Source organism: Homo sapiens, chromosome 1 (assembly GCF_000001405.40).
Source record: "Homo sapiens chromosome 1, GRCh38.p14 Primary Assembly".
NCBI lineage: Eukaryota > Metazoa > Chordata > Mammalia > Primates > Hominidae > Homo > Homo sapiens.
In genome coordinates, this window is record NC_000001.11 from 43118092 (window position 1) to 43142421 (window position 24330).

At 40.2% G+C, this 24330-nt stretch overlaps 3 annotated features.

Annotated features, from left to right (window-relative positions):
* Positions 1480–2121: an enhancer, noted in NCBI's record as "NANOG-H3K27ac-H3K4me1 hESC enhancer chr1:43585242-43585883 (GRCh37/hg19 assembly coordinates)". NCBI's record gives its function as "activates a minimal SCP1, AML or CMV promoter by ChIP-STARR-seq in primed H9 embryonic stem cells {active_cell/tissue: H9 hESC(primed)}" and the evidence as "EXISTENCE:reporter gene assay evidence [ECO:0000049][PMID:30033119]".
* Positions 2122–2762: an enhancer, noted in NCBI's record as "NANOG-H3K27ac-H3K4me1 hESC enhancer chr1:43585884-43586524 (GRCh37/hg19 assembly coordinates)". NCBI's record gives its function as "activates a minimal SCP1, AML or CMV promoter by ChIP-STARR-seq in primed H9 embryonic stem cells {active_cell/tissue: H9 hESC(primed)}" and the evidence as "EXISTENCE:reporter gene assay evidence [ECO:0000049][PMID:30033119]".
* Positions 3311–3832: an enhancer, noted in NCBI's record as "H3K4me1 hESC enhancer chr1:43587073-43587594 (GRCh37/hg19 assembly coordinates)". NCBI's record gives its function as "activates a minimal SCP1, AML or CMV promoter by ChIP-STARR-seq in naive H9 embryonic stem cells {active_cell/tissue: H9 hESC(naive)}" and the evidence as "EXISTENCE:reporter gene assay evidence [ECO:0000049][PMID:30033119]".

Genomic DNA, 24330 nt, shown 5'->3' on the forward strand with positions numbered 1-24330 from the left:
TGTCTAATGTTGACAGTGGGGTGTTAAAGTCTCCCATTATTAATGTGTGGGAGTCTAAGTCTCTTTGTATGTCACTCAGGACTTGCTTTATGAATCTGGGTGCTCCTGTATCGGGTGCATATATATTTAGGATAGTTAGCTCTTCTTGTTGAATTGATCCCTTTACCATTATGTAATGGCCTTCTTTGTCTCTTTTGATCTTTGTTGGTTTAAAGTCTGTTTTATCAGAGACTAGGATTGCAACCCCTGCCTTTTTTGTTTTCCATTTGCTTGGTAGGTCTTCCTCCATCCTTTTATTTTGAGCCTATGTGTGTCTCTGCACGTGAGATGGGTTTCCTGAATATAGCACACCGATGGGTCTTGACTCTTTATCCAATTTGCCAGTCTGTGTCTTTTAACTGGAACATTTAGTCCATTTACATTTAAAGTTAATATTGTTATGTGTGAATTTGATCCTGTCATTATGATGTTAGCTGGTGATTTTGCTCGTTAGTTGATGCAGTTTATTCCTAGTCTCGATGGTCTTTACATTTTGGCATGATTTTGCAGCGGCTGGTACCGGTTGTTCCTTTCCATGTTTAGCGCTTCCTTCAGGAGCTCTTTTAGGGCAGGCCTGGTGGTGACAAAATCTCTCAGCATTTGCTTGTCTGTAAAGTATTTTATTTCTCCTTCGCTTATGAAGCTTAGTTTGGCTGGATATGAAATTCTGGGTTGAAAATTCTTTTCTTTAAGAATGTTGAACATTGGCCTCCACTCTCTTCTGGCTTGTAGGGTTTCTGCCGAGAGATCCGCTGTTAGTCTGATGGACTTCCCTTTGAGGGTAACCCGACCTTTCTCTCTGGCTGCCCTTAACATTTTTTCCTTCATTTCAACTTTGGTGAATCTGACAATTATGTGTCTTGGAGTTGCTCTTCTCGAGGAGTATGTTTGTGGCATTCTCTGTATTTCCTGAATCTGAACGTTGGCGTGCCTTGCTAGATTGGGGAAGTTCTCCTGGATAATATCCTGCAGAGTGTTTTCCAACTTGGTTCCATTCTCCCCATCACTTTCAGGTACACCAATCAGATGTAGATTTGGTCTTTTCACATAGTCCCATATTTCTTGGAGGCTTTGCTCATTTCTTTTTCTTTTTTCTCTAAACTTCCCTTCTCACTTCATTTCATTCATTTCATCTTCCATTGCTGATATCCTTTCTTCCAGTTGATCACATCAGCTCCTGAGGCTTCTGCATTCTTCACATAGTTCTCGAGCCTTGGTTTTCAGCTCCATCAGCTCCTTTAAGCACTTCTCTGTATTGGTTATTCTAGGTATACATTCTTCTAAATTTTTTTCAATGTTTTCAACTTCTTTGCCTTTGGTTTGAATGTCCTCCCGTAGCTCAGAGTAATTTGATCATCTGAAGCCTTCTTCTCTCAGCTCTCAAAGTCATTCTCCATCGAGCTTTGTTCCCTTGCTGGTGAGGAACTGCGTTCCTTTGGAGGAGGAGAGGCGCTCTGCGTTTTAGAGTTTCCAGTTTTTCTGTTCTGTTTTTTCCCCATCTTTGTGGTTTTATCAACTTTTGGTCTTTGATGATGGTGATGTACAGATGGGTTTTTGGTGTGGATGTCCTTTCTGTTTGTTAGTTTTCCATCTAACAGACAGGACCCTCAGCTGCAAGTCTGTTGGAATACCCTGCTGTGTGAGGTGTCAGTGTGCCCCTGCTGGGGGGTGCCTCCCAGTTAGGCTGCTCAGGGGTCAGGGGTCAGGGACCCACTTGAGGAGGCAGTCTGCCCGTTCCCAGATCTCCAGCTGCGTGCTGGAAGAACCACTACTCTCTTCAAAGCTGTCAGACAGGGACATTTAAGTCTGCAGAGGTTACTGCTGTCTTTTTGTTTGTCTGTGCCCTGCCCCCAGAGGTGGAGCCTACAGAGGCAGGCAGGCCTCCTTGAGCTGTGGTGGGTTCCACCCAGTTGGAGCTTCCCGGCTGCTTTGTTTACCTAAGCAAGCCTGGGCAATGGCGGGCGCCCCTCCCCCAGCCTCCCTGCCGCCTTGCAGTTTGATCTCAGACTGCTGTGCTAGCAATCAGCGAGACTCCGTGGGCGTAGGACCCTCCGAGCCAGGTGCGGGATATCATCTCGTGGTGCGCCGTTTAAGCCAGTCGGAAAAGCGCAGTATTCGGGTGGGAGTGACCCGATTTTCCAGGTGCGTCCGTCACCCCTTTCTTTGACTCGGAAAGGGAACTCCCTGACCCCTTGCGCTTCCCAAGTGAGGCAGTGCCTTGCCCTGCTTCGGCTCGTGCACGGTGCGCGCACCCACTGACCTGCGCCCACTGTCTGGCACTCCCTAGTGAGATGAACCCGGTACCTCAGATGGAAATGCAGAAATCACCCGTCTTCTGCGTCGCTCACGCTGGGAGCTGTAGATTCGGCCATCTTGGCTCCTCCCCGACTTTGTTTTTCGATTGTTTTGTCCCTTGAGATTTTATCTTAGTTTGACGTGGATTTTTTTTCATAGAATCATTGCCCAGGTAATTTTTTAATTTCTAAAAAGAAATCATTGAGATTTTGATAGACATTATGTCAAATCTGTAGATCCCTTTTGGTAATATTGACTTCTTAACAATATTATATCTTCCAATCTATGAACATGGATTGGAAAGGATATTCTACTTAAGGGTGTCTTCCTTAATTTCTTTCACCAAAATTTGTAGTTTGCAGTGAACAAGTCTTTTGCCTCTAAGGTTATTCCTAAGTATTTTATCCCTTTGATGCTATTGTAAATAAAATTTTGTTCTTAATTTCCTTCTTGGATTGTTTGTTGTTAGTGCATAGAAAGACAACTGATATTTGCATGTTGATTTTATATCTTGTAACTTTGCTAAATTGGTTTATTAGTTTCAACACTGTTTTTGTTGGGATTTTTAGGGTTTTCTACCTATAAGACCAAGTTGTCTGTGAACAGAGATAATTTTACTTCTTCCTTTCCAACTTGGATGCCTTTTATTTCTTTTCCTTGCCTAATTTCTCTGGCTAAGACTTCTAGTACTATGTTGAATAGAGTGATAAAAAGAGACATTCTTGCTTCTAATTTAGAGGGAAAGCTTTCAGTCTTTCACCATTGAGTATGACGTTAGTTGTGGGCTTTTCAAAGATATGCACAGCGGCTTTTAAACGTCTTGATTTTCCTAAGACTTTCACCCCTGCTTCTTCTCAGGGTCTTAGATGTTCCATTGTAATTCTCTGCCTGTAATCTCCCGCTCCAAGTGCCCTTGGGTCTACAGTTCTCCGGCAGTTTTCATGTGCCATGGCACCTGCCACTGCTTTCAGTGGGGTCCAACCTGCTATCCAACTATGCCACCGTTCCCATCTAAGCTGAGTCAGATGAGATAAAAATCAGTTCCTCAGGCAGCCTCCAGACAAGACAGAACAGTGCAAACAAGTCCCAGTCTTTTCCCTCTGAAAGGGGAATTGTGTGACTTCCTCCTGACTGTGTTGCACTGAGGAGAAGGTAGGCAAGGGCTCAAAAAAAAAAAAAAAAAAAAAAAAAAAGCAACACAATTTCCTACTGTGTTAAGTGTTGCTTTGTCTTGATTGGGTGTTTAATTGATTGGTTGCTGCAGATCCTTGACTGGTTTCTACAGCTCCTACAACTGTAAGAGCCGAGATTTTTTTTTTTTAGACAGGGTCTTGCTGTTGTCACCCAGGCTGGAGTGCGGTGGTACAATCTCAGCTCACTGCAACCTCCGCCTCCTGGGTTCAAGCAATTCTCGTGCCTGAGCCTCCCGAGTAGCTGGGACTACAGGCATGTGCCACCACACCCAGCTAATTTTTGTATTTTTAGTAGACACAGGGTTGTGCCATGTTGGCCAGGCTGGTCTTGAGCTCCTGACCTTGAGTGAGCTGCCTGCCTTGGCCTCCCAGAGTGCTGGGATTACAGGCGTGAGTCGGCGCACCCGGCCTCTGATTTTCAGTAAATACGTTGTCATTTACTTGATGTTTCCATGGGAGAACAGGGACCTGGAGCTTCTGCCATCTTGCTGACATCACCATAACATAACTCTTTAGACTTCCAAGTCTTGTCTTTTTAAAAACGTTCACATTTAGTTCTATGATCCAATTTGAATTGGATTTTTGCATGAATACCTGGTTTTGAATTGTAACTCCACCATGTTATTTCAATGTGGCCTTAACCTCTCTGGGCCTCAGTTCCTTCATCAGTAAGATGAGGGGCAAAATAGCATTGGGAGGATTCTGCATTTACATCTGAAGAACTTAGAAACACAACTGAAAAATACTGTCGTTTTTTTCCTTATCCACACTGGATACATTCCAAGGTCCCCAGTGGATGCCTGAAACCACAGATAGTACCATACCCTATATATACTATGTTTTTTCCTATAGATAGGTACCTATGATAAAGTTTAATTTATAAATTAGGCACAGTAAGAGATTAACAATAGCTAGCAATAAAATAGAACAATTATAAGAATAGACTGTAATAGGCTGGGCGCAGTGGCTTATGCCTGTAATCCCAACACTTTGGGAGGCCGAGGCGGGCAGATCACTTGAGGTCAGGAGTTTGAGACCAGCCTGTCCAACATGGTGAAACCCTGTCTCTACTAAAAATACAAAAATTAGCTGGGTGTGGTGGTGCGCACCTGTAATCCCAGCTACTAAGGACGCTGAGGCAGGAGAATTGCTGGAACCCGGGAGGTGGAGGTTGCAGTGAGCTGAGATCATGCCACTGAACTCCAGCCTAGGAGACAGAGAGAGACAGTCTCAAAAAATATACACACACACACACACACACACACACACACACACATATATATACCATAATAAAAATTATGTGAATGTAGCCCCTTTCTGTCTCAAAATATCTTATTGTGCTGTACTTACCTATTTTCAGACTGCAGTTGATCATGGGTAATTAAAACTATAAAAAGTGAAACCACAGATGAGGGGATACTGTAGTACATTTAATAAATGTTACTTGCCATTAATATTTCTGTAGATTTTTGATCAACTTTTGCTCTGGAAGATCAGAGGGGACTGACCTAATTAGGTCTGATAAAAGGCTTAACTTTATCACTTAGCATTGCTTGAGTATTTTACTGGCCTGGTGGGTGTACTGAGAAAAGCAGGCTTATGTTTCAACAGTGGACTCTATTGTGCGAAATAAATATGAGTCTCCTCCCTCTTTGCTGTTGCCTTATTTGTACTAGCATGCCAGTTTGAATACACAGTGTTCATGTCAATATTTTTGTTGATCAATTTATCAGCTCAATTTATAGAAACTTTCAGAGTCTTCCTTATTGATGTGTTTCCTGGGGCAAGGCCCATTGTTTTGCTTAACATTTCCTAGAACCTAGATGGGCCTCTGTACTCAGTTGCCCCAAGAATTTTGATCAAAACATGGACCAGGCTTTGGTATTAAATTTCCAAAGCCTGGAGGCTGAAAGCAGTTTGGAAAAGAGTTGATTCACTTTAAGCAGTTCTTCCTCGTGGGTGTGTGTGTGTGTGTGTGTGCGTGTTTGATTTTAAAGATTTCTGGAATACTTTCTAAATACAGAAAAATATGCAAATGAATATAACAAAAATATAACAATCATCCTTGTATCCATCATCCAGGTTTAACACCTTTTAACTTTTTGCTATAATTGTATCAATCCATTCTTCCCCAGAAGTAGACACTATTCTGAAATTAGTGTATATTCTTCTGTTGATGTTTATAGTCTTTTATCAAATATGGATTTATTAAAAAATAATATTATATATAGTATTATTTTGTTCTCATATTTTAAATATAAAATAATGTATGTTTTACTTTTTCTGATTTGTTTTTTTCACTCAACATTCTTGTTAATGACTTATCTATGCTGATACATGGATCGTTGTAGTGGGTTCATTGTTAACTGTTGCATAGAATTTCATCCCCTAAATATTCCACAATTTATTTATTCACTCACCTACTGAAGGACACACACACTGTATAGATAGTGTTTAATTTCCATTTACCTTTCTTCTTTAGTTTTATATTTATTTATTACTAATTCATCTTCATACTTTCCCCACTATTGTCTAAGTTTTCTCCCAAATTCAGATACACAAGATTTTCTTAAAACTTCATCTTGTTGAAGATCTCTTTTCTGGAGCCTTCTGAGTTGCTTCAACCTGGTTTGGTTACTTTGTTATCATCCTGAAGTCTCACTTTTCTCTCATATTGGGGATGCCTTCTTGGCTTCTCTCCTGTGCTAGAGTCTCCGTTCCTCTGCCCCTCATCTCTGCACCCATTCAATGGTGCTTCGTGTTTATGCAAGGAGCTGTGGTAGAGGGATTAGAAGCATAAGCTTCAGAAGGAGACAGATCTAGGTTGAATCTTTGTTTATCACAATTATGAGCAAATGTATTATCTTCACTTAGCTTCAATTTCTACATTTATAAGGTGGACATAAAACACCCATCTCACAGAGTTGCCATGAAGATTAAGTGAAATGCTATTTCAGCTGATATTTGTGCTACACATATTTTCCCCCAGACTACACCGTAACTTTTCAATTTGTTTGTTGTACCTTTAGATACATAGACACATTTTATTTGTAGTCAAATGTATTATCCTACATAATTTACATTTTATATGTTCTGTATCCTTCCCTACCCCAAGCTCATAAACAGATCATTATTATAATTTCTTTTAAAAGTTTAAAGTTTTGCTTTCACATCAAACTGATTATCTACCTGAAATGGATCTGTATATATGGTGTGATATATAAGGCTCTGTTTTTTTAAATATGGGTAACCAATTGTCCTAAGATCAAATATTGAATAGACCATTTTTTCTACTTTGATTTGTAGGGCTTACTTTTGTCATATTACTGTCCCATGTATGAAGGTCTGTTTCTGGTCTCTTTATTCTGTTTCAGTGGTCAAAAACCACACAATTTTAATCACTATAATTTAAAAATAAACACTAATATCTTTAAAACACTAATATCTTTCTGTTCTTTCATAAAATTGATAAACTCTTATGTAAACTTACATTGTACTTTGTATTTTCTCTGGTGTTTCTATATACACAACCCAATTATTTATGAATGCTAGCAACTTTGTTTACTCATCAATTCTTAAACTCTATGTTTGTTTTTCTTGTCTTACTGCACTAGTCAGGACATCTAGTGCAATGTGAAGAGAAGTGGTAATTATGGGCATCTTTGTCTTGTTTCTGACTTAAATTATATGTAGTATTTTACCATGAAGGTTGATGTTTGCTATAGATTTTTAGAAGATATACTTTTTAGGTTTAAGAAAGTTGCTGCTGGTTTTTTGTTGCTGTTGTTGTTGGTTTTTTCTTTTTTCTTTTTTTTTTTTTTTTTGAGATGGGTCTTGCTCTGTTGCCCAGGCTGGAATGCAGTGGCACAGTCATAGCTCACTGCAGCCTAGAACTCCTGGGCTCAAGTGATCTTCCCTCCTCAGCTGCCTGGGCTTCCTAAAGCACTGGGATTACAGATGTGAGCCACTGCACCTGGCCAAGAAAGCTTCTTTTAATCCTTATTTGCTAAAAGATTTTTTTTTTTGTACATATGAGATATGGTTTGCTAATGTATCGAGGCTCTTTACATCTCTCTTCGTAAATGAAACTGGTCTATGTATTTTCTTTCTTCAGCTTTTTACTGGCTTTGGTATCAAATTAGATTGATTACCGTAAATGAATTTGAGAGCATTTCCCGCCCAGTGTCCCCCTTTTTGGATTATTTGGAACAACTTGTGTAAAATTAGAATCATATGCCACTTGAATATTTGACGGAACTTGCCTTTAAAATTTCCAAGGTCCTTTTTTTAGTGGGGAGGGGGGCAGATTATTACAAACTATTAATTCTATCTATTTAAAGGTTATAGATCAATGTAGGTTTTAAGACTGTTTTTGGTAAATTATATCCTTACATAAGATTGTCCATTTCATCTAAATTATATTTTTATATAAAAGTGTCCTTTTCATCAGTTTAAAAGTTATCTATTTTCAAATTTATTAGCATAAAGCTATTCATAGTATTTTTCTTGTGATTTTACCAAGCCTTATCTGTGACCATACTTTGTTATTTATTTTCCTGGGACATGGTATAGTTCATCTCCAGTCACCTTCCTCTGGACTTACAGGTTATTCTTGTCCAGAATTTTAGTGCTATTTTAAAAATTTTAACACAAAATTTGGTCATAACTATTATTGTTGGCTGGGTGCAGTGGCTCACACCTGTAATCCCAACACTTTGGTAGGCTGAGACAGGAGGATTGCTTGAGCCCAGGAGTTCCAGACCAGCCTGGGCAACATAGGGAGACCCCATCTCTACAAAAAAATTTAAAAATTAGCTGGGCATGGTGGTATGTGCCTATAGTCCCAGCTACTCAGGAGGCTGAGGTGGGAGGATCACTTGTGCCCAGGAGGCTGAGGCTGCAGTGAGCCATGATTGTGCCATTGCACTCCAAACTGGGTGACAGAGGGGGACTGTCTCAAACAATAATTATTATTATTACTTTACATACTTGATATTTATTTGTCATTTTTGTTGCCTGTAAATGTCTTTGTTTCACCCTTATTAGTGAAAGATCATTTTGCTGGATCTTGAACTCTAGGCTGACTATTGTTTTCTCTCAGCACTTTGCAGGTATTATTCCATTGTATTCTGACCTGTATTGCTGCTATGGAGTAGCCAGCTATCAATTTAACTGGCAGCCTTGCATAGGTAATCTCTCTTTTCTGGCTGCTTTTAAGACCTTCTGTTTGTCTTTTGTATTCAGTGTTACCACAACACCAGGGGCTTGGTGTGGGTCCTGCTGCTTGCCCCAGAGAAAGCCCATCACTGAGACCAGGATTATTGCCAAGGAAGAAGGCTTTAGGCTTTAATTGGGTGCTGTAGCCAAGGAGATGGGAGATCAGTCTCAAATCTGTCTCCCCTGATGACTGGAATTAGAGGTTTATATGGCAGGGAAGAAATATAACAATGTATAAGAAAACAGAAAATGTACCCCTCCCAAGGAACTAGGGAGGGGTAAGGAAGCAATAGTGATGAATGAGGTGTCTGGCATTTCATTGTCTGGATGCTGTGACCTGGTGAGTTTCAGCTCTTTGATACTTTTTTTGAGTGGCCTGAGGGTGTTGCTAAGAAGGAACTCAGATAAAACAAATGCAAGTTTCAAGCTTTAAGGGCCAGGCTTGGTGGCTCACGCCTGTAATCCCAGCACTTTGGGCAGCTGAGGTGGTTGGATCACGAGGTCAGGAGATCGAGACCATCCTGGCTCACACGGTGAAACCCCATCTCTACTAAAAATACAAAAAAAAAATTAGCTGGGCGTGGCGGTGGGTGCCTGTAGTCCCAGCTACTCGGGAGGCTGAGGCAGGAGAATGGTGTGAACCCAGGAGGTGGAGCTTTCAGTGAGCTGAGATCATGCTACTGCACTCTAGCCTGGGCGATACAGTGAGACTCCGCCTCAAAAAAAAAAAGAAAAAAGAAATTGACCAGAAGGGTCCATTTCTATGTTTATCCAAAAACAAAAAGACAACAAAAAAAGTGTCTATGGGACTATTGGGTTGATTTCATCCAGCAGTTGACCATGTTGTATCCAGATGTGAATTTCTTTTTACTTATCCAGCTTGAGAATTTGTCAGACTTCTTTAATCTGTTGTTTTGTCTTTCATCAATTTGGGGGAATTTCTTCAAGTATTGTCTTTCTCCTATCTACTCTTTCCTGCTACATCAAATTTATACAACATGTTCTCTTCTATCTTATGTGGATGTGGCTTTTAAGTTCTTTTTCATGTTGTTCATCTCTTTGTCTTGAAGTAATTTCTTCAGTTTTTAATTCCAATTTACTAATTACCTTTTCTTTCTTTCTTTCTTTCTTTTTCTTTTTTTTTTTGAGATGGAGGTCTTACTTTGTTGCCCAGGCTAGAGTGCAGTGGTGCAATCTCGGGTCACTGCAGCCTCAACCACCCGGGTTCAAGCAATCCTCCTGCCTCAGCCCCCCAATTAGTTGGGACTACAGGTGCGTGCCACCAGGACTGGCTAATTTTTGTACATTTGTAGACACAGGGTTTTGCCATGTTGCCAAGGCTGGTCTCAAACTCCTGAGCTTAAGCAATCCACCTGCCTTGACCTCCCAAAATGTTAGGATTACAAGCATGATTTATAATCCTTTGGGTGTATACCCAGTAATGGGATTGCTGGGTCAAATGGTATTTCTAGTTCTAGATCCTTGAGGAATTGCCACACTGTCTTCCACAATGGTTGAACTAATTTACAGTCCCACCAACAGTGTAAAGGCTTTCCTATTTCTCCACATCCTCTCCAGCATCTGTTGTTTCCTGACTATTTAATGATTGCCATTCTAACTGGCAGGAGATGGTATCTCATTGTGGTTTTGATTTGCATTTCTGTAATGACCATTCTTTTTTTTTTCTTTTTTTTTTTTTGTTGAGACGGAGTCTCCCTCTGTCGCCCAGGCTGGAGTGCAGTGGCACAATCTCGGCTCACTGCAAGCTCCGCCTCCCAGGTTCACGCCATTCTTCTGCCTCAGCCTCCTGAGTAGCTGGGACTACAGGCACCCGCCACCACGCCCGGCTAAGTTTTTGTATTTTTGGTAGAGATGGAGTTGCACCGTTTTAGCCAGGCTGGTCTCAATCTCCTGACCTCGTGATACTCCTGTCTCAGCCTCCCAAAGTGCTGGGATTACAGGTGTGAACCACCGTGCCTGGCCTCTAATGACCATTCTTGATGGGACTTTAAATTGAATAGTGCCCTTTTGGAAGCATCCATTAAAAGTTAGTGCATATATATATACACACACACACACACACACACACACACATATATATACACACACATATATATACACACATATATATATGTTTGGCCTAGCAATAAAAATTTGTATTATTGTTATGTTATGATGTCATTATATCCTCTACCTTAGAAAAAAGACATTATATCCTCTACCTTAGAAAAAATCATATTTCTTTATATTCACACACGTAATGTTAAAGCATATTTTTTTAAAGTGTGGAAGCAGACTTAACCTCTGGTATGAGGACTGGTGCTGAAGAGAGGATCGAAGAGAACCTTTACTTATTTGTATTTGAACGTTTATAATGAGCATATTAATGGCTACTCGTGTAATTAGAAAAAAAATAAAAGAAATCACAAATAATAGCAATTAAAACTTGAGAGGTTTCTGATGCAGCCAGGATGTACTAGCCCTTGCACTGTCACTTAAGAACCAGCAAAGCCAACTTTGAAGGCTCCTAATAGCACTGATCTTCAGTGACTGGTTTGCATGTCAAGGATAGCTGAAGGTGGATTAAAAACTTCTCAGGCAGACACATAATCACCTGAATTCAGGGACCTGCCTTAGAATTGTGTATGACACTTCGCAGTCATAATCACAGGCCCCCGGCTTTGAGCTGCTGAGAATCTCGCACAAGCTCTGCATTAGGCTGACACTTCCCAGGAGGATATAAGAACTGCCAATTATACAGAGAGCTACGCTCTGTAATATCTTGACAGTCTCCACTCTCTCTCTTTCCTCCTCCTGCTATGAGGCTCCAAGTTTATTCCCCAGTTACTGGGGGCCACTCCTGGGTCCCTCTGCCTCGGAAGTCTTCCCTCCTGGCTGTGGCCCAATTAAGCCACAGTTGAGTTGCTCAGAAGTGAGAATTCCTGGGAGGCTTGTTAAGTTCAGTGCTTCAGGAAATGGAAGGAACATCATTAAGAACTTCAGCTTAATAGGCAGCTGGGCCAACACCAGCTGCAAAGCAGAAAAAGTGTAAGTGACTCAGTGTCCCTCAGAGGCATCAAAAAAAACTTGTTTTAACTTTTACCTAATTCTATCCCAAGTGTGTACACTAGCTACGAAGCACATACCCAAGACACCTTCACTTTCCCCACCACTATCACTCTGTTATTTTCATCATGTATCATTACAACCTCATCACCCATCAGTATTCTCATCATCGCTTTGATTCACCGTCATCCCAGAACTATCATCCTTTTCCTATTACACTATCATTCTCAGTATTATCACCAACTCATCATTTAACCATTATTATCACCATCAGTATTATAATCACCCCCATTATCATTGCAAACACCATCATTCAGCTGCACCATTTCACCACTCCCATGGCCACAACCATAATATACGTCTGTAGTTCATGAGAACAGAAAAACATCCTGAAGATTCTAAGAAAAAGCCCTTATTTGAAAGGCAGACAACAAAAGTATTTTTAAATAAGTTTTTCTCTTATTTCAATCAGGTGCAAGAATAAGAAGGTAATAGACTGAGATAAGAAATTAAATGAAGAAATACAATAAAATAAAATTTGACACAATGGTCAAAATATAACCTAAACTGGAGAGAATAAACAGAAAAATGGACCTTGCATAAACATTAAAATCTTCTCAGAATGCAAGAGAAAAGAAGGAAAATTCTGATAATTACAGAATGGAGGATGAGTTACATAGATCCAACCTGTAAGTATTAAAGAATGTCTAAAGAAAACAGTAAATGGATCAGAGGGTCAGAGTAAGTGGATCCAGGGGTATAATATATAGGAAAACACTTTCTGAATTTCCAGAGAAATACTCTGAAGATCGAAATGCCCCACTATATTCCAAGCAAAATTAGTAAAAAGATCTACACCTGCATGCATTCTCTTCTGATAATCTCTTAACCACACTTCCGCTAGAATGATCCATTCAAATCACAAGTCTTAGAACATCATTCCCAGGTTCAAATGCTTTAATCTCTTTCCAGAGCTGTTAATATAAAGGACTAAATTCCAACATGGCCCACAAGGCCCATGGTTGGCCTTGCACTTCTGCACCTGCTCTCCCTTGCTTTCTGCCCGACTGGACCTTCTTTCTGTTCCTTGCACAGGCATGCTCCTTCTAGCACAGGAACTTGGCATATGTTGTTGCCTCCCCCCAGGAATGCTCTCATCCTCCCCCACGAATTTCCTCTGGTTAACTCTTATTTTAGGATCTCATACAACACTTCCACAAGGAAACCCTCCCAGACCTCTCTAACGAGGCGAAGCATACCTACTATACGCTCGTGTAGCACCATGCACCTTTCTACTTTAGTACTTCCGACAAGTAGGTTTATGTTTATTTATAGGACTCTTTGATTACTATCTGCCTCCCACTCAGAGTATAACCTCCACAAGGGTAGGGACCAAGGAGCCAAGTTAAGTTTCCAAGCAGGGCACACACTGCCAGATCCCGTATTAAACACACACATCCTTGCAACACCAAATTGGGAAGTTCCACTGCTGGCTGTCCGCTGTTGCCCTTTCTCCTCTTTCTTCTTTCACGGGCCTCTCCAGTCAGCCTTTGCCTTAAGAATTCTCCAGGTGTGCGGGAGACATCAGACTCATTTATCCCCAAAATTCCAAGGGACACATCAAAACGTCCCAAGCCCTCCCAGTGAACTGTCCAACGTCATCATGGGGCAAAGGTGGGGAGGAGACCTAGAGGACAGCCCAGGAGGGAAAAAGCCACATTACTCTCCCCCTACAATAAAGACTACATTTTCCTGTTTAAAGAACCTCCCTTTCACATTTCAAGTCTTTTCTTGTAGTCTATAGGTATGTGATAATGGAGTGATGGTCACAAGATTGGTTTGTGTCTAGCAACGTGTTGAGGCTCTTTTAAAAAGTAAAGATGTAAAGATCTCAAAGTCTTTTGAGAAAACAGGAAAAGTCCCAGTCAACATCCTGTTGTGATCATATTCCTGAAAGACTGGAAGATAGGAATATGAAAAGGGGATCAACCACGATTCCACTTCCCTAAAACCAATGGCTTTTTCTTTTCAGTGTATTTTCTTCCACTGTTTTATCAAGTACTGCTTTTCTCCACTTCATTTCACATCACATGCATTGCTCCAAATTACTCCATGCTGATTACATGTATCTTAAATGGATGCATAATATGATGCATGGTTTCACAAAACTTTATTTTGTAATCAATACTGAAATGAACTTCTTCGCAGATGTAGGATTTTCCATTTTTGTACTAATTCCTAAGGGGTGATTTCTAAAACTGATGTTATAGACTATGTTTGGCAACTGATTTTGCTAGCCAACATCCATTCTCACTGCTTCTAGTAACAGGACTCTGAAGCTTTCCTCTGCTGAAGCTTAAAAAAGCCCAGAAATTCCAGCACACTATTTTGTGTGGTTAAAATAAAAGGATGATCAAAGTATGAAGCACATAGTTTATTGCCATACAAAAATTTCCTTTGTTCACAACGCTTAAAGATGGGGAGAATAATTAGAACAAATTTCACTGGGAATACACTTGACAGGTGAAGTACATTAACCACATAGTGAATGAGTTCCAATTTTGTTACAGTCGAATTATTAAAGTCTAGTTGGTCAATTAGGATGACAACAGGCTTCTGTGGAAAGAAAAGTCTAATTGAAGTTTAGGGAGTGCCTTTATATGGCTTGAGCAACACAGTGGAAATCTGTGACAACATTTATATTCCCTAGACATGAGAGGGCAGTGCCAGTGTTGACTGGTGAGGCTTCAGAGATTAACTCAAAGGCTAACATGGTTCGGCCCTGTTGCAGCCTGAGCTGTAGGTCTTTGCAGAAGCAGCCGACAGAGTGTAGCCCTGCCACGGCCTAAATTCTCAAAGTGTCTGTCAAACTCTTAGGTTATATGTACTTTGGAACCCAGCAGTTGAAGTCTGTAACTCACCTACGAGGTGTCATAGGTGTGATGTGTTATGTAACATTCTCAGAGGGAAGAGAAGTACACTCCAAGTTCTTACCACATAAAACATATATCACTCATGTAGCAAATTATGTAAGTGTTTGAAATCATTTCAAAGCTACGTAACACACATCGAATACTTCCATCAAATGTCCATATAGACTATCATGTAATCAAAGAATAGACTCCTTTTTTCCCCAACAGATGCCTCTTTTTTCTTTTTCTTGCCTTATAGAACTGGCTAGATTCTCCAGCACAACATTGAATAAAAATGCAGATATTCTTGTCTTGTTCTTGAGCTTAGGACAAAATCATTCATGCCTTTCACCATTAAATGTAATTTTAGCTGTAGAGTTTTCATAGATACTCTTCATCAGGTTCAGGAAGTTCCTTCTATTCCCTCTTAGCTGAGAGTTTTTATCAGGAATGGTTGTTGGATTTTGTCAATGCTTCTCCTTCATCTATTGAGATCAATCACATGGTTTTTAGTTTGTTTATATGGTGAAATACAGTGATTGATTTTGGGATGTCAAATGAACTTTGTGTTCCTGCAATAAATCCTACTTGGTCATGATGTATTATTTTAAAAATATATTGTTAGATTTGATTTGCTGATTTTTAAAGAATTTGTGCATCTATGTTCTTAAGGAACATTGGTCTATAGTTTTCTCGTAACGTCTGTTTGGTTTTGCTATCAGGGTAATGCTAGCCTTGTAGAATGAGTAGAGAAGTATTCTCTTCAATATTCTGGAACAGTCTGTGTAGAACTGAAATTGTTTTCTCATTAAATGTTTGGTAGAATTCACCAGTGAAGCTATCTGGGCTGGAGTTTTCTTTTAAAGAGAAGGTCTCTTTAAAAATTTAATTTATTTAATAAATAAAGAACTATTCAAGTTATCTATTTCTTCTTGAGTGAAGACTGGTTCTTTGAGAACTATTCATTGATCTTTTTTCCTTGTTTACTGTTTACTGCTTTATTGATTTGCACTCTAATTTTCATTATTTCATTTCTTCTGCTTATTTTTCATTTCATCTGCTCTTCTTTTTCCAGTTTCTTAAAGTGGTTAAGAATGTTACTTAAGTACTGCTTGAGCAACATTCCACAAATTTCGATATGTTTTCAATTTTTATTCAGCTCAAAATACTTTCTAATTTTCTACTTTTTAGAAGTCTGTTATTTAGTTTCCAAATATTTGGGGATTCCTATTAGTCTTTGTTATTGATTCCCAATTTAATTTTCAGTCAGAGAACATACTCTTCTGAAAGGAAAATAAAATCTTGGCACTTCAAATTCACTATGCCAAAAGGGAAAAATTAACCTTGGAAGCTGAGTCATGAAAAAAAGCAAAACGCTTGCTTTTTCTTTTGTTCTTAAACTGATAGCTATAGCTAGAAGGCCACATGTGGGAGCCTCCCTCACCCTGACAATGTAAATTAACAGCTTATCTTCACAGGCAAGGGACAAAAAGAAATCATCTCCCACCCACCCCAGGAATGCATGTTTGACTGCTTCCTCTACTCTATGTTTATTTTATGTAAAGTGCAGATTTACTGAGCAGAAGACAAATACATAATTGACTGTTCCCTCTACCCCTCCTTTTGTAGTGCAACATGTGGATTCAGTGAGCCTAATCAAAACCTTGAAAGAATGTGACCATACCCTCCCTCTTTTTTTTCCTTTTTCCCCTTTCCCCTCCTGCCCACTTTTCCACATTTAAATATTGAATACTTCAAAATCCTATTTGGAAAAAAGTACAGGTCACAGATCCTACAATCCTACTGTGGCTTGTGTCTCTTTTTCCGAGGCACATCCTCAACCTTGGAAAAATAAACTTTTAAATTGATTGAGACTTGCCTCAGTGATTTTCTTTGGTGTATACTCTGTATCACTTGAATACTTTCCAAGTGAAGACATGCTTTATAATCCAGAGTATGGACTGTTTTGGCCAGATGTTTTCTATATACTGGAAAGAAATGTGTATTCTGCTGTTGTTGAATGGCATGTTCTATAAATCTCAATTACATCAAGTTGGTTGATAGTCTTGATGTCTTCTATATCTCTGTGGATTTTCCATTTGTTCTAGTGATTATTGAGAGAAAGGTATTGATATATCTGCCTATAATTCTGGATTTATCTACTTCTCTTTGGAGATTTCTCCATTTTTGCTTCATGTATTTTGAAGCCCCTACTCACCAGCATGGTCTTCCTGAGCCCCTCCAAGAGTAATCTCACCACCAGCCCATCCACCCCTACCCCAAGGTCAACAACAGTGTCAGTAGTTGGCCTACAGGGGACCCATTGTGTGCATGTGATTAGGGAGACTCTGGGACCACCTGCCTAACTCCTTGTACACTTCCAACCACCCTTACTCCGTGTCTCCCAGACAACCAGACTGGGGCAAGTGTTGGGAAGATGGAGACATAGGAATGATCAGGATGGGAAAGAGGCTCCTCCCCCTCCTCCAACAGGCACTGCTTCCAGCCCAGACTGGTGTGTGTGGTTGTAGGGCAGGAGGGGGTGTAGGGCCAGACCTGAATCCATCTATGAGGAAAAGTAAGCCTGTAGGCTCAAGTCTCCACTCCACCCTGAAGTTTGGCAGGGTAAGGCAGATGGAACTCCTCTAGCTCCTCCAGTGCTATGAGCTGCTTCCTTTCTGAGAGAGAGGTAGGACTTGTGAGTCAGTGCTTCAGGTGTCCCCATGTCACTACCAGACTGCTCATGGCCACCAAATTCTTCCAGCAGCCTTGGGCTGGGAGAGGAGGCAGTCAGGGTGACTATTGATGGCATTAAGTGTTGGAGGGCTGTGCAACTCCCCGCCCCTTGACCCACTCTCTTCCCTTTGGCTTTGCAAAGGAAAACCTCCTTGTTTCTCACCTTTTCTTACCTTCTGGTGAGGTAAGGTGAGGGAGAGAGGCCTTACGTTTCTTCTCACTGCCTCTCACAGGTTATCCAAGCCCAGAAGTGTTACCAGAAAGGGGACCGGATCCAGACCCCAAGAGAGGGTTCTTGGATCTCATGCAAAAAAAGAATTCAGGGTGAGTCCATAGAGTAAAGTGAAAGTAAGTCTATAATGAAAGTGAAGGAATAGAAGGATGGCTGCTCCTCCATAGACAGAGCAGCCCGGTGGATTGCTGATTGCCCATTTTTATGGTTATTTCTTGATTATATGCTAAACAAGGTGTAAATAATTCTGGCCTGCCTTTTTTAGATCATATTGCGTAACTTCCTGTCGTTGCCATGGCATTTGTCAACTGTCATGGTACTGGTGGGAGTGTAGTAGTGAGGACGACCAGAGGTCACTGTCATTGCCATCCTGGTGTTGGTGGGTTTTAGCCAGTTTCTTTACTGCAACCTGTTTTATCAGCAAGGTCTTTATGACCCATGCCTTGTGCCAACCTCCTGTCTCATCTTGTGACTAAGAATGCCTTAACCTCCTGGGAATGCAGCCCAGCAGGTCTCAGCCTTATTTTACCCATCCCCTAGACAAGATGGAGTTGCTCTGATTCAAACGTCTCTGACAAAAGCACTCTCAATATCTGAGCCCCCCATTAACAAGAACAAATAAATAAACGAAAACCATAATAAAACATCAATAATCTGGTGTCTAGGAGAAATTTAGCTGTTGTACACCATTTGTTATGATGAAACTCCTCCAGCTTCTCCAAATGCTGTGAGCCATCTCGTGTCTGAAGTTCAGATAGAACCTGTGACTCAGGTACCTCAGGTGTCCAAGCATCACTACCAGATTGCCCTTGACCACCAGATTCTTTCAGCAGCCTTGGGGTGGGGGAGTGGACAGTGAAGGTGACTGTTGCAAGCATTAAGTGTTGGAGTGCTATACTGCTTCCATCCTCTCCAGCCCCTCTGTTCCCCATGATTTGTTTCTCCTGGAGTGAATACACGCGGAGGACCTTAAGAGCAAGGTCTTAAAATATGTGCAACACATACAAGCTTTTCAAAGAACAATTATTCAGAATACATACAGAACTCTTACAAATCAGCAAGACAGGCAAGCTAGTAGAAAATAATTTAGAGATAGAAACAGGCACTTAGTACAAAAGGATACGCAAATCACCAATAAATAGGCAATGGCCCTGGGACTTCCTGCTCACCGTACCTGTACCAACAGCCTGACTGGGCCAGGCTTTCCACTGGTGCAGTTCTCATACCTGTCACTGCCAAGAATGGCTCTTTTTGAAGTGAGGCTGCTGAGTCTGGGAGCATCAAGAGTGGGAGGGAAAGCATGGGCTTGCTATAGCCATGTTTCAGAGCAAAGAGCACAGACTGGGGTTTGGGCACTGATTAGTCTGTCAGTGTTTATTGTGGTTTTGCCAATTACTTTTCCCCTTGGGCTTTAGCGTCCCTATTTATCTGATGGAAGAGTGGGATGAAATCAGAGTTGTTACCTGATATTCAACACATGAATTCTATTTAATTTGGCCAGCACAGTCACTGTCCTTCTCACTCTCACTCTCTCAAATAGGATTGGCTGTCAACATTTAAATATCAAGATTTCGGAGCGGGGCGCGATGGCTCACGCCTGTGATCCCAGCACTTTGGCAGGCCGAGGTGGGCAGATCACGAGGTCAGGAGATCGAAACACAGTGAAACCCCGTCTCTACTAAACATACAAAAAAAAAAATTAAATTAAATATCAAGATTTCTGGCTTCTCTTGAAGAATTAGGTGATGGGCCCACATTTCCACACTAAAACAACTGTCCAGAACTGCGTAGGAGGCCGTGTCTATTAGGCTGGATCAGAAATCTTGCTCAAGCAACACCCCTGCTGCCTCCCTCAGCATGAACCTCGGTATGAAGACAGAGACAATGTTATGTGTTCATCCCATAGGTTCTTCCCAGGCATTTCCCGGCCCCGTAGGGTTAGCATTGGTTGGCAAAAACCATGTGACAGAGATTTGCTGATGGCAATGTGATGCAGTAAAGAGATGGTGTAAATTCTCCATGTATTCTTACATTGTGTGGTTGGAAGCTAGAAACCTCTGAGAGGACAGACTGGCAAGAAAGAACCAGCTGACATCCCCAAGTGATCACTATAGGACAGCTGCCAAGAAAAGCTCGCTGACTCCTCTGAGCCCCAAATAGAAGCAAAAAACAAAGCTTGGTTGTGTTAAGCCACTGATATGCAGGGGTTATCTGCTACCATGGTAGAGCTTGTCCTCTGCTGACTGATGAAATGGATCATAAGAATAGTAGCAAATATTCATTGAGTGCTTCCTGATTTGAATGCCTAGTCATTGGGCTAAATACTTTACATATAATACCTTAGTTAGTCTTAATAATTATTCTGTCTGATAGGTACTATTATTTTACCCTTTTTAGATAAGAGGTTTAGAGATGTTAAGTCATATACTTGAGTTCATAGTAAGTGAGAGAGTTAGGCAGTCTGATGCCAAAACTTTCGCTACGCTCCTCTCTTTTTTCTATTCTATATTGTCTCGCTGAGTCTGTCTTTCTCTGTAAAAAAGGCAATGATAACCTCAACTTTAACAGTCAGATATTAGTTGTGCTAAGAGATAGTCTGGGTTAATTTTAAATTATTTGGATCAGTTTGAAGTTACGTGGAGAAATTGGCAATGGTTTAATCTACTTGAACCAGTCTATACCAGATAAGTACAGTTAGAATTAATTTGAGCTGGATTCTGCTAGTATAGACATTCTGGAACACCCTTGGATTTTTGCTAATCCTTTAACAGAGATATTATTGGCAGTTAGATAGTAATTATTATGTTAAGAAAATGTAATTATATTCTTAGGTTACTGAAGAGTTTAATCAGAAATAATTAAATGTTTCAAAAATCATGTGGGCATCTCTAACACTGCTAGTGTAGCAAAACCTCCTGTCCAAAACCTCCTTCCAGTCACTACCTCCTCCATCTTTTCCAAAGAAAAGCCTTACCCTGACTTAACATGCCATAGTGTGGGCGAAGGATTACCCAGGTGCTGAGGCAAGAGACTGAAGGCACAAACTGTTGCAGTATAATAAGGAAAATAGTTAGAATAAGAATAGTTATAATACAAATTAGATATAGAGATAACCATAGACATTATCAATCATTAGTATAAATATTATTACTCATTAGCTTTTAATATTACTCTTTGTTGTATTACTAATATAACCAAGGAATAACCAGCGGGTATAGGGTCAGGTGCCAACGGGACATTGTGAGAAGTGACCTAGAAAGCAAGAGGTGAGCCCTCTGTCACACCTGCATAAGGGCCACTTGAGGGTTCCTTGGTCAAGCAGTAATGCCAGTGCCTGGGAAGGCACCCGTTACTTAGCAGACCGTGAAAGGGAGTCTCCCTTTCCTTGGAGGAGTCAGGGAACACTCTGCTCCACCACCTTCTTGTGGGAGGCTGGATATTATCCAGGCCTGCCCGCAGTCATCCGGAGGCCTAAACCCCTGCCTGTGGTGCTGTGCTTCAGTAGTCATGCTCCTTGTCCACTTTCATGTTCCTCCCGCACTCCTGGTTCCTCTTTGAAGTTCTTAGTAGATAGTGGTAGAAGAAATAGTGAAAGTCTTAAAATCTTTGATCTTTCTTATAAATGCATAGAAGAAAATGCTGACATATACTGCCTTCCCTCTCTGCTTCGGCTACCTAAGAGCAAAGGGCCCCCTGTCCCATGATCACGTGACTTGCTTGACCTTATCAATCACCTGGACGACTCACCTGCCTTACCCTGCCTCCTTGTCTTGTATGCAATAAATATCAGCACACCCAGCTATTTGGGGCCACTACCGGTCTCCACGTCTTGGTGGTAGTGGTCCCCCGGGCCCAGCTGTTTTCTCTTTATCTCTTTGTCTTGTGTCTTTATTTCTTACAATCTCTCGTCTCCGCACACGGGGAGAACACCCTCAAAGCCCCGTAGGGCTGGACCCTACACCATAGATTAGTTTTGCTTAGCTTTAAACGCTTTATAAATGGAATTACACAGGATGCATTATTGTGCCTGCATTCATTCAACACTATGTATGCCAGATTTACCCATATTATTGTATGTAGCTGTATTGTTCATACATTTGTATTGCTGTATAATATTCCAGTGTATGAATATGCCATAATTTATTTATCCATTACACTGTCATTGAATATTGGGTTGTTTCCAGTTTGGGTTTATTACAAATAATGCTGCCATGAACCTCTTTCATATCTTTAATTATACTTGTGTAACCATTTATTTAATACATATAGATAGGCAGGAAGTTACTGGATTATACAATACATGCATACTCTTCTTTAGTACATAATGTCAAACATTTTCCAAAGTGGTTCTACCAATCTACATACCCAGCATCAGGGTATAAGAGCTCCAGTTGCTCCATAATCTTGCCAGTATTTGGTATAGACCATCTTTTTAATTTTAGCCATTCTGATGGGTCTGTAGTATTAACTCATTGTGGTTTTAATGTGTATTTTCCTGAACATCTATGAGGTTGAGCACCTTTTTATATATGATTGGTCATTTTGCTCTCCTCTTTCATGAAGTACCTTTTCAAGTCTCTTACTATTTTTCTACTGGAGTGTGTATTTTTTTATTTATTTATAGGAGTTCTTTTATATATTACTGATAAGATCCCTTTTTATATTTGTGGATTTTCTTTTTACATTGTATGGTGTGGCTCTATCATAATTTACCTATTTTTATTTATAATTATTTAGATTGCTTTCAATGTTTTTATTCCAACAACTTCTATGAATTGAGGATTGTGGGTATTGTTTAGGATAGAGTATTTAGTATCAATCTCTTAGGTTTTTTTCAACAGCATTCAGCACCATATGAAAGGCAAATGGCTGGGATCAGCCAGGTTGAGTTTTTCTTTCCAGGAAAGTGAGATTAAAAAATATAATACCACAAGATAATTGATAATATTGGTTTTCAAAAAGTCATTGAAATTATAAAATTGATAAGGTCAATCACGTGACTTGCTTGACCTTATCAATCACCTGGGCTACTCACCCTCCTTACCCTACCCCTTGTCTTGCATGCAATAAATATCAGCGCGCCTAGATATTCCAGGCTGCTACCAGAATAGCGCACCCAGCTATTCAGGGCCACTGTTGACTCTGAACTATGTAAGGAGGGAAGTAAAGACAGCATGGGAATTAGAGTTACTAGATATAGAGAAAGAAAGGATGGTGGGCTGGAGGCCAAGTGAATTGGGAGGAATAGAGTGACTACACTGTAAGGACAGGAAGTCATGGTCAGAGAACAGTATATCTGAATATGTGGTTTCAGAAGTGGGACAATTCTTCAGTAATGAGAAGGACCAGATATGCCCGTAAGTGGCTGAAGTAGAAGGCAAGTGGTGAATTTTGGTGAAAATTTGCAAACCATGCATCTGACAAGGGGTTATATCCAAAATATACAAGGAAATCAAACAACTCAATAGCAACAAAACAAAACAAACACCAAATAATTTAAAAGTGGGCAAAAGACCAAAATAGACATTTCTCAAAAGAACACATATATATGGCCAACAGGTATATGAAAAAAATGTTCAACATCACTAATCATCACGGAAATGCGAATCAAAACTACAGTGTGATATCACCTCACCCCAAATAGAATGAGTATTATCAAAAAGGCGAAAATGACAAATGCTTGTGTGGATATGGAGAAAACGGAACCCTTACGCACTGTTTTGGTGGGAGTGTAAACTAGTACAACCATTATGGAAGACAGTATAGAGTTTCCACAAATGAATTAAAAGTAGAAGTATCATATGATTCAGAAATCCCACTACTGGGTACTGATCCAAAGAAAATCAATATGTCAAAGGGAAATCTGCACTCCCATGTTTCCTGGAGCCTTATTCACAATAGCCAAGCTATGAAATTATCCTAAAAGTCCATCAATGCATGAATGAATAAAGAAAAGGTAGTACATATGCACAATAGAATAAAATTTAGTCATAAAAAAAGCATGACACCTTGTTATTTGTAGCAATGTAGATGAACCTATAGGGCATTACGTTAAGTGAACTTAGAGGACATCACATTAAGTGAAAAAGCCAGGAACAGAAAGACAAATACCACATGATCTCACTCATTTGTGGGCTCTAAAAAAAGTCAATCTCATAAAAGTACAGAACAGAATAGTGGTTGCTAGAGGAGAAATGGGGAGAGATTGGTGAAAGAGTACAAAATTACAGATAGGAGAAATAAGTTGTGGTGTTCTATTTCACGTTAGAGGGACTATTGTATATTTCAAGACACCTAAAAGAGTCTTTTCGATATTTGCACCAAGAAGAAATAAGTGAAGTGATGTATTTGTTACATATACTGATTTGATCATTACACAATGTACACAAGTATTAAAATATCACACTGTACCCCATAAATATGTGCAATTCTTATGTGTCAAAAATCAAACTTTTACAAAATACAGAATGTGTTATAAGTAAAACACACACACACACACACACACACACACACACACACACACACACACACAGAGAGGCCAGAGAATTGAATCAGGCCATCTAAATGAACACTGAAGTCACTCAGTGTGATGAACTCAAGAATAGGACTTTGAGACAATTGTAACCATGTTAATAGGAAA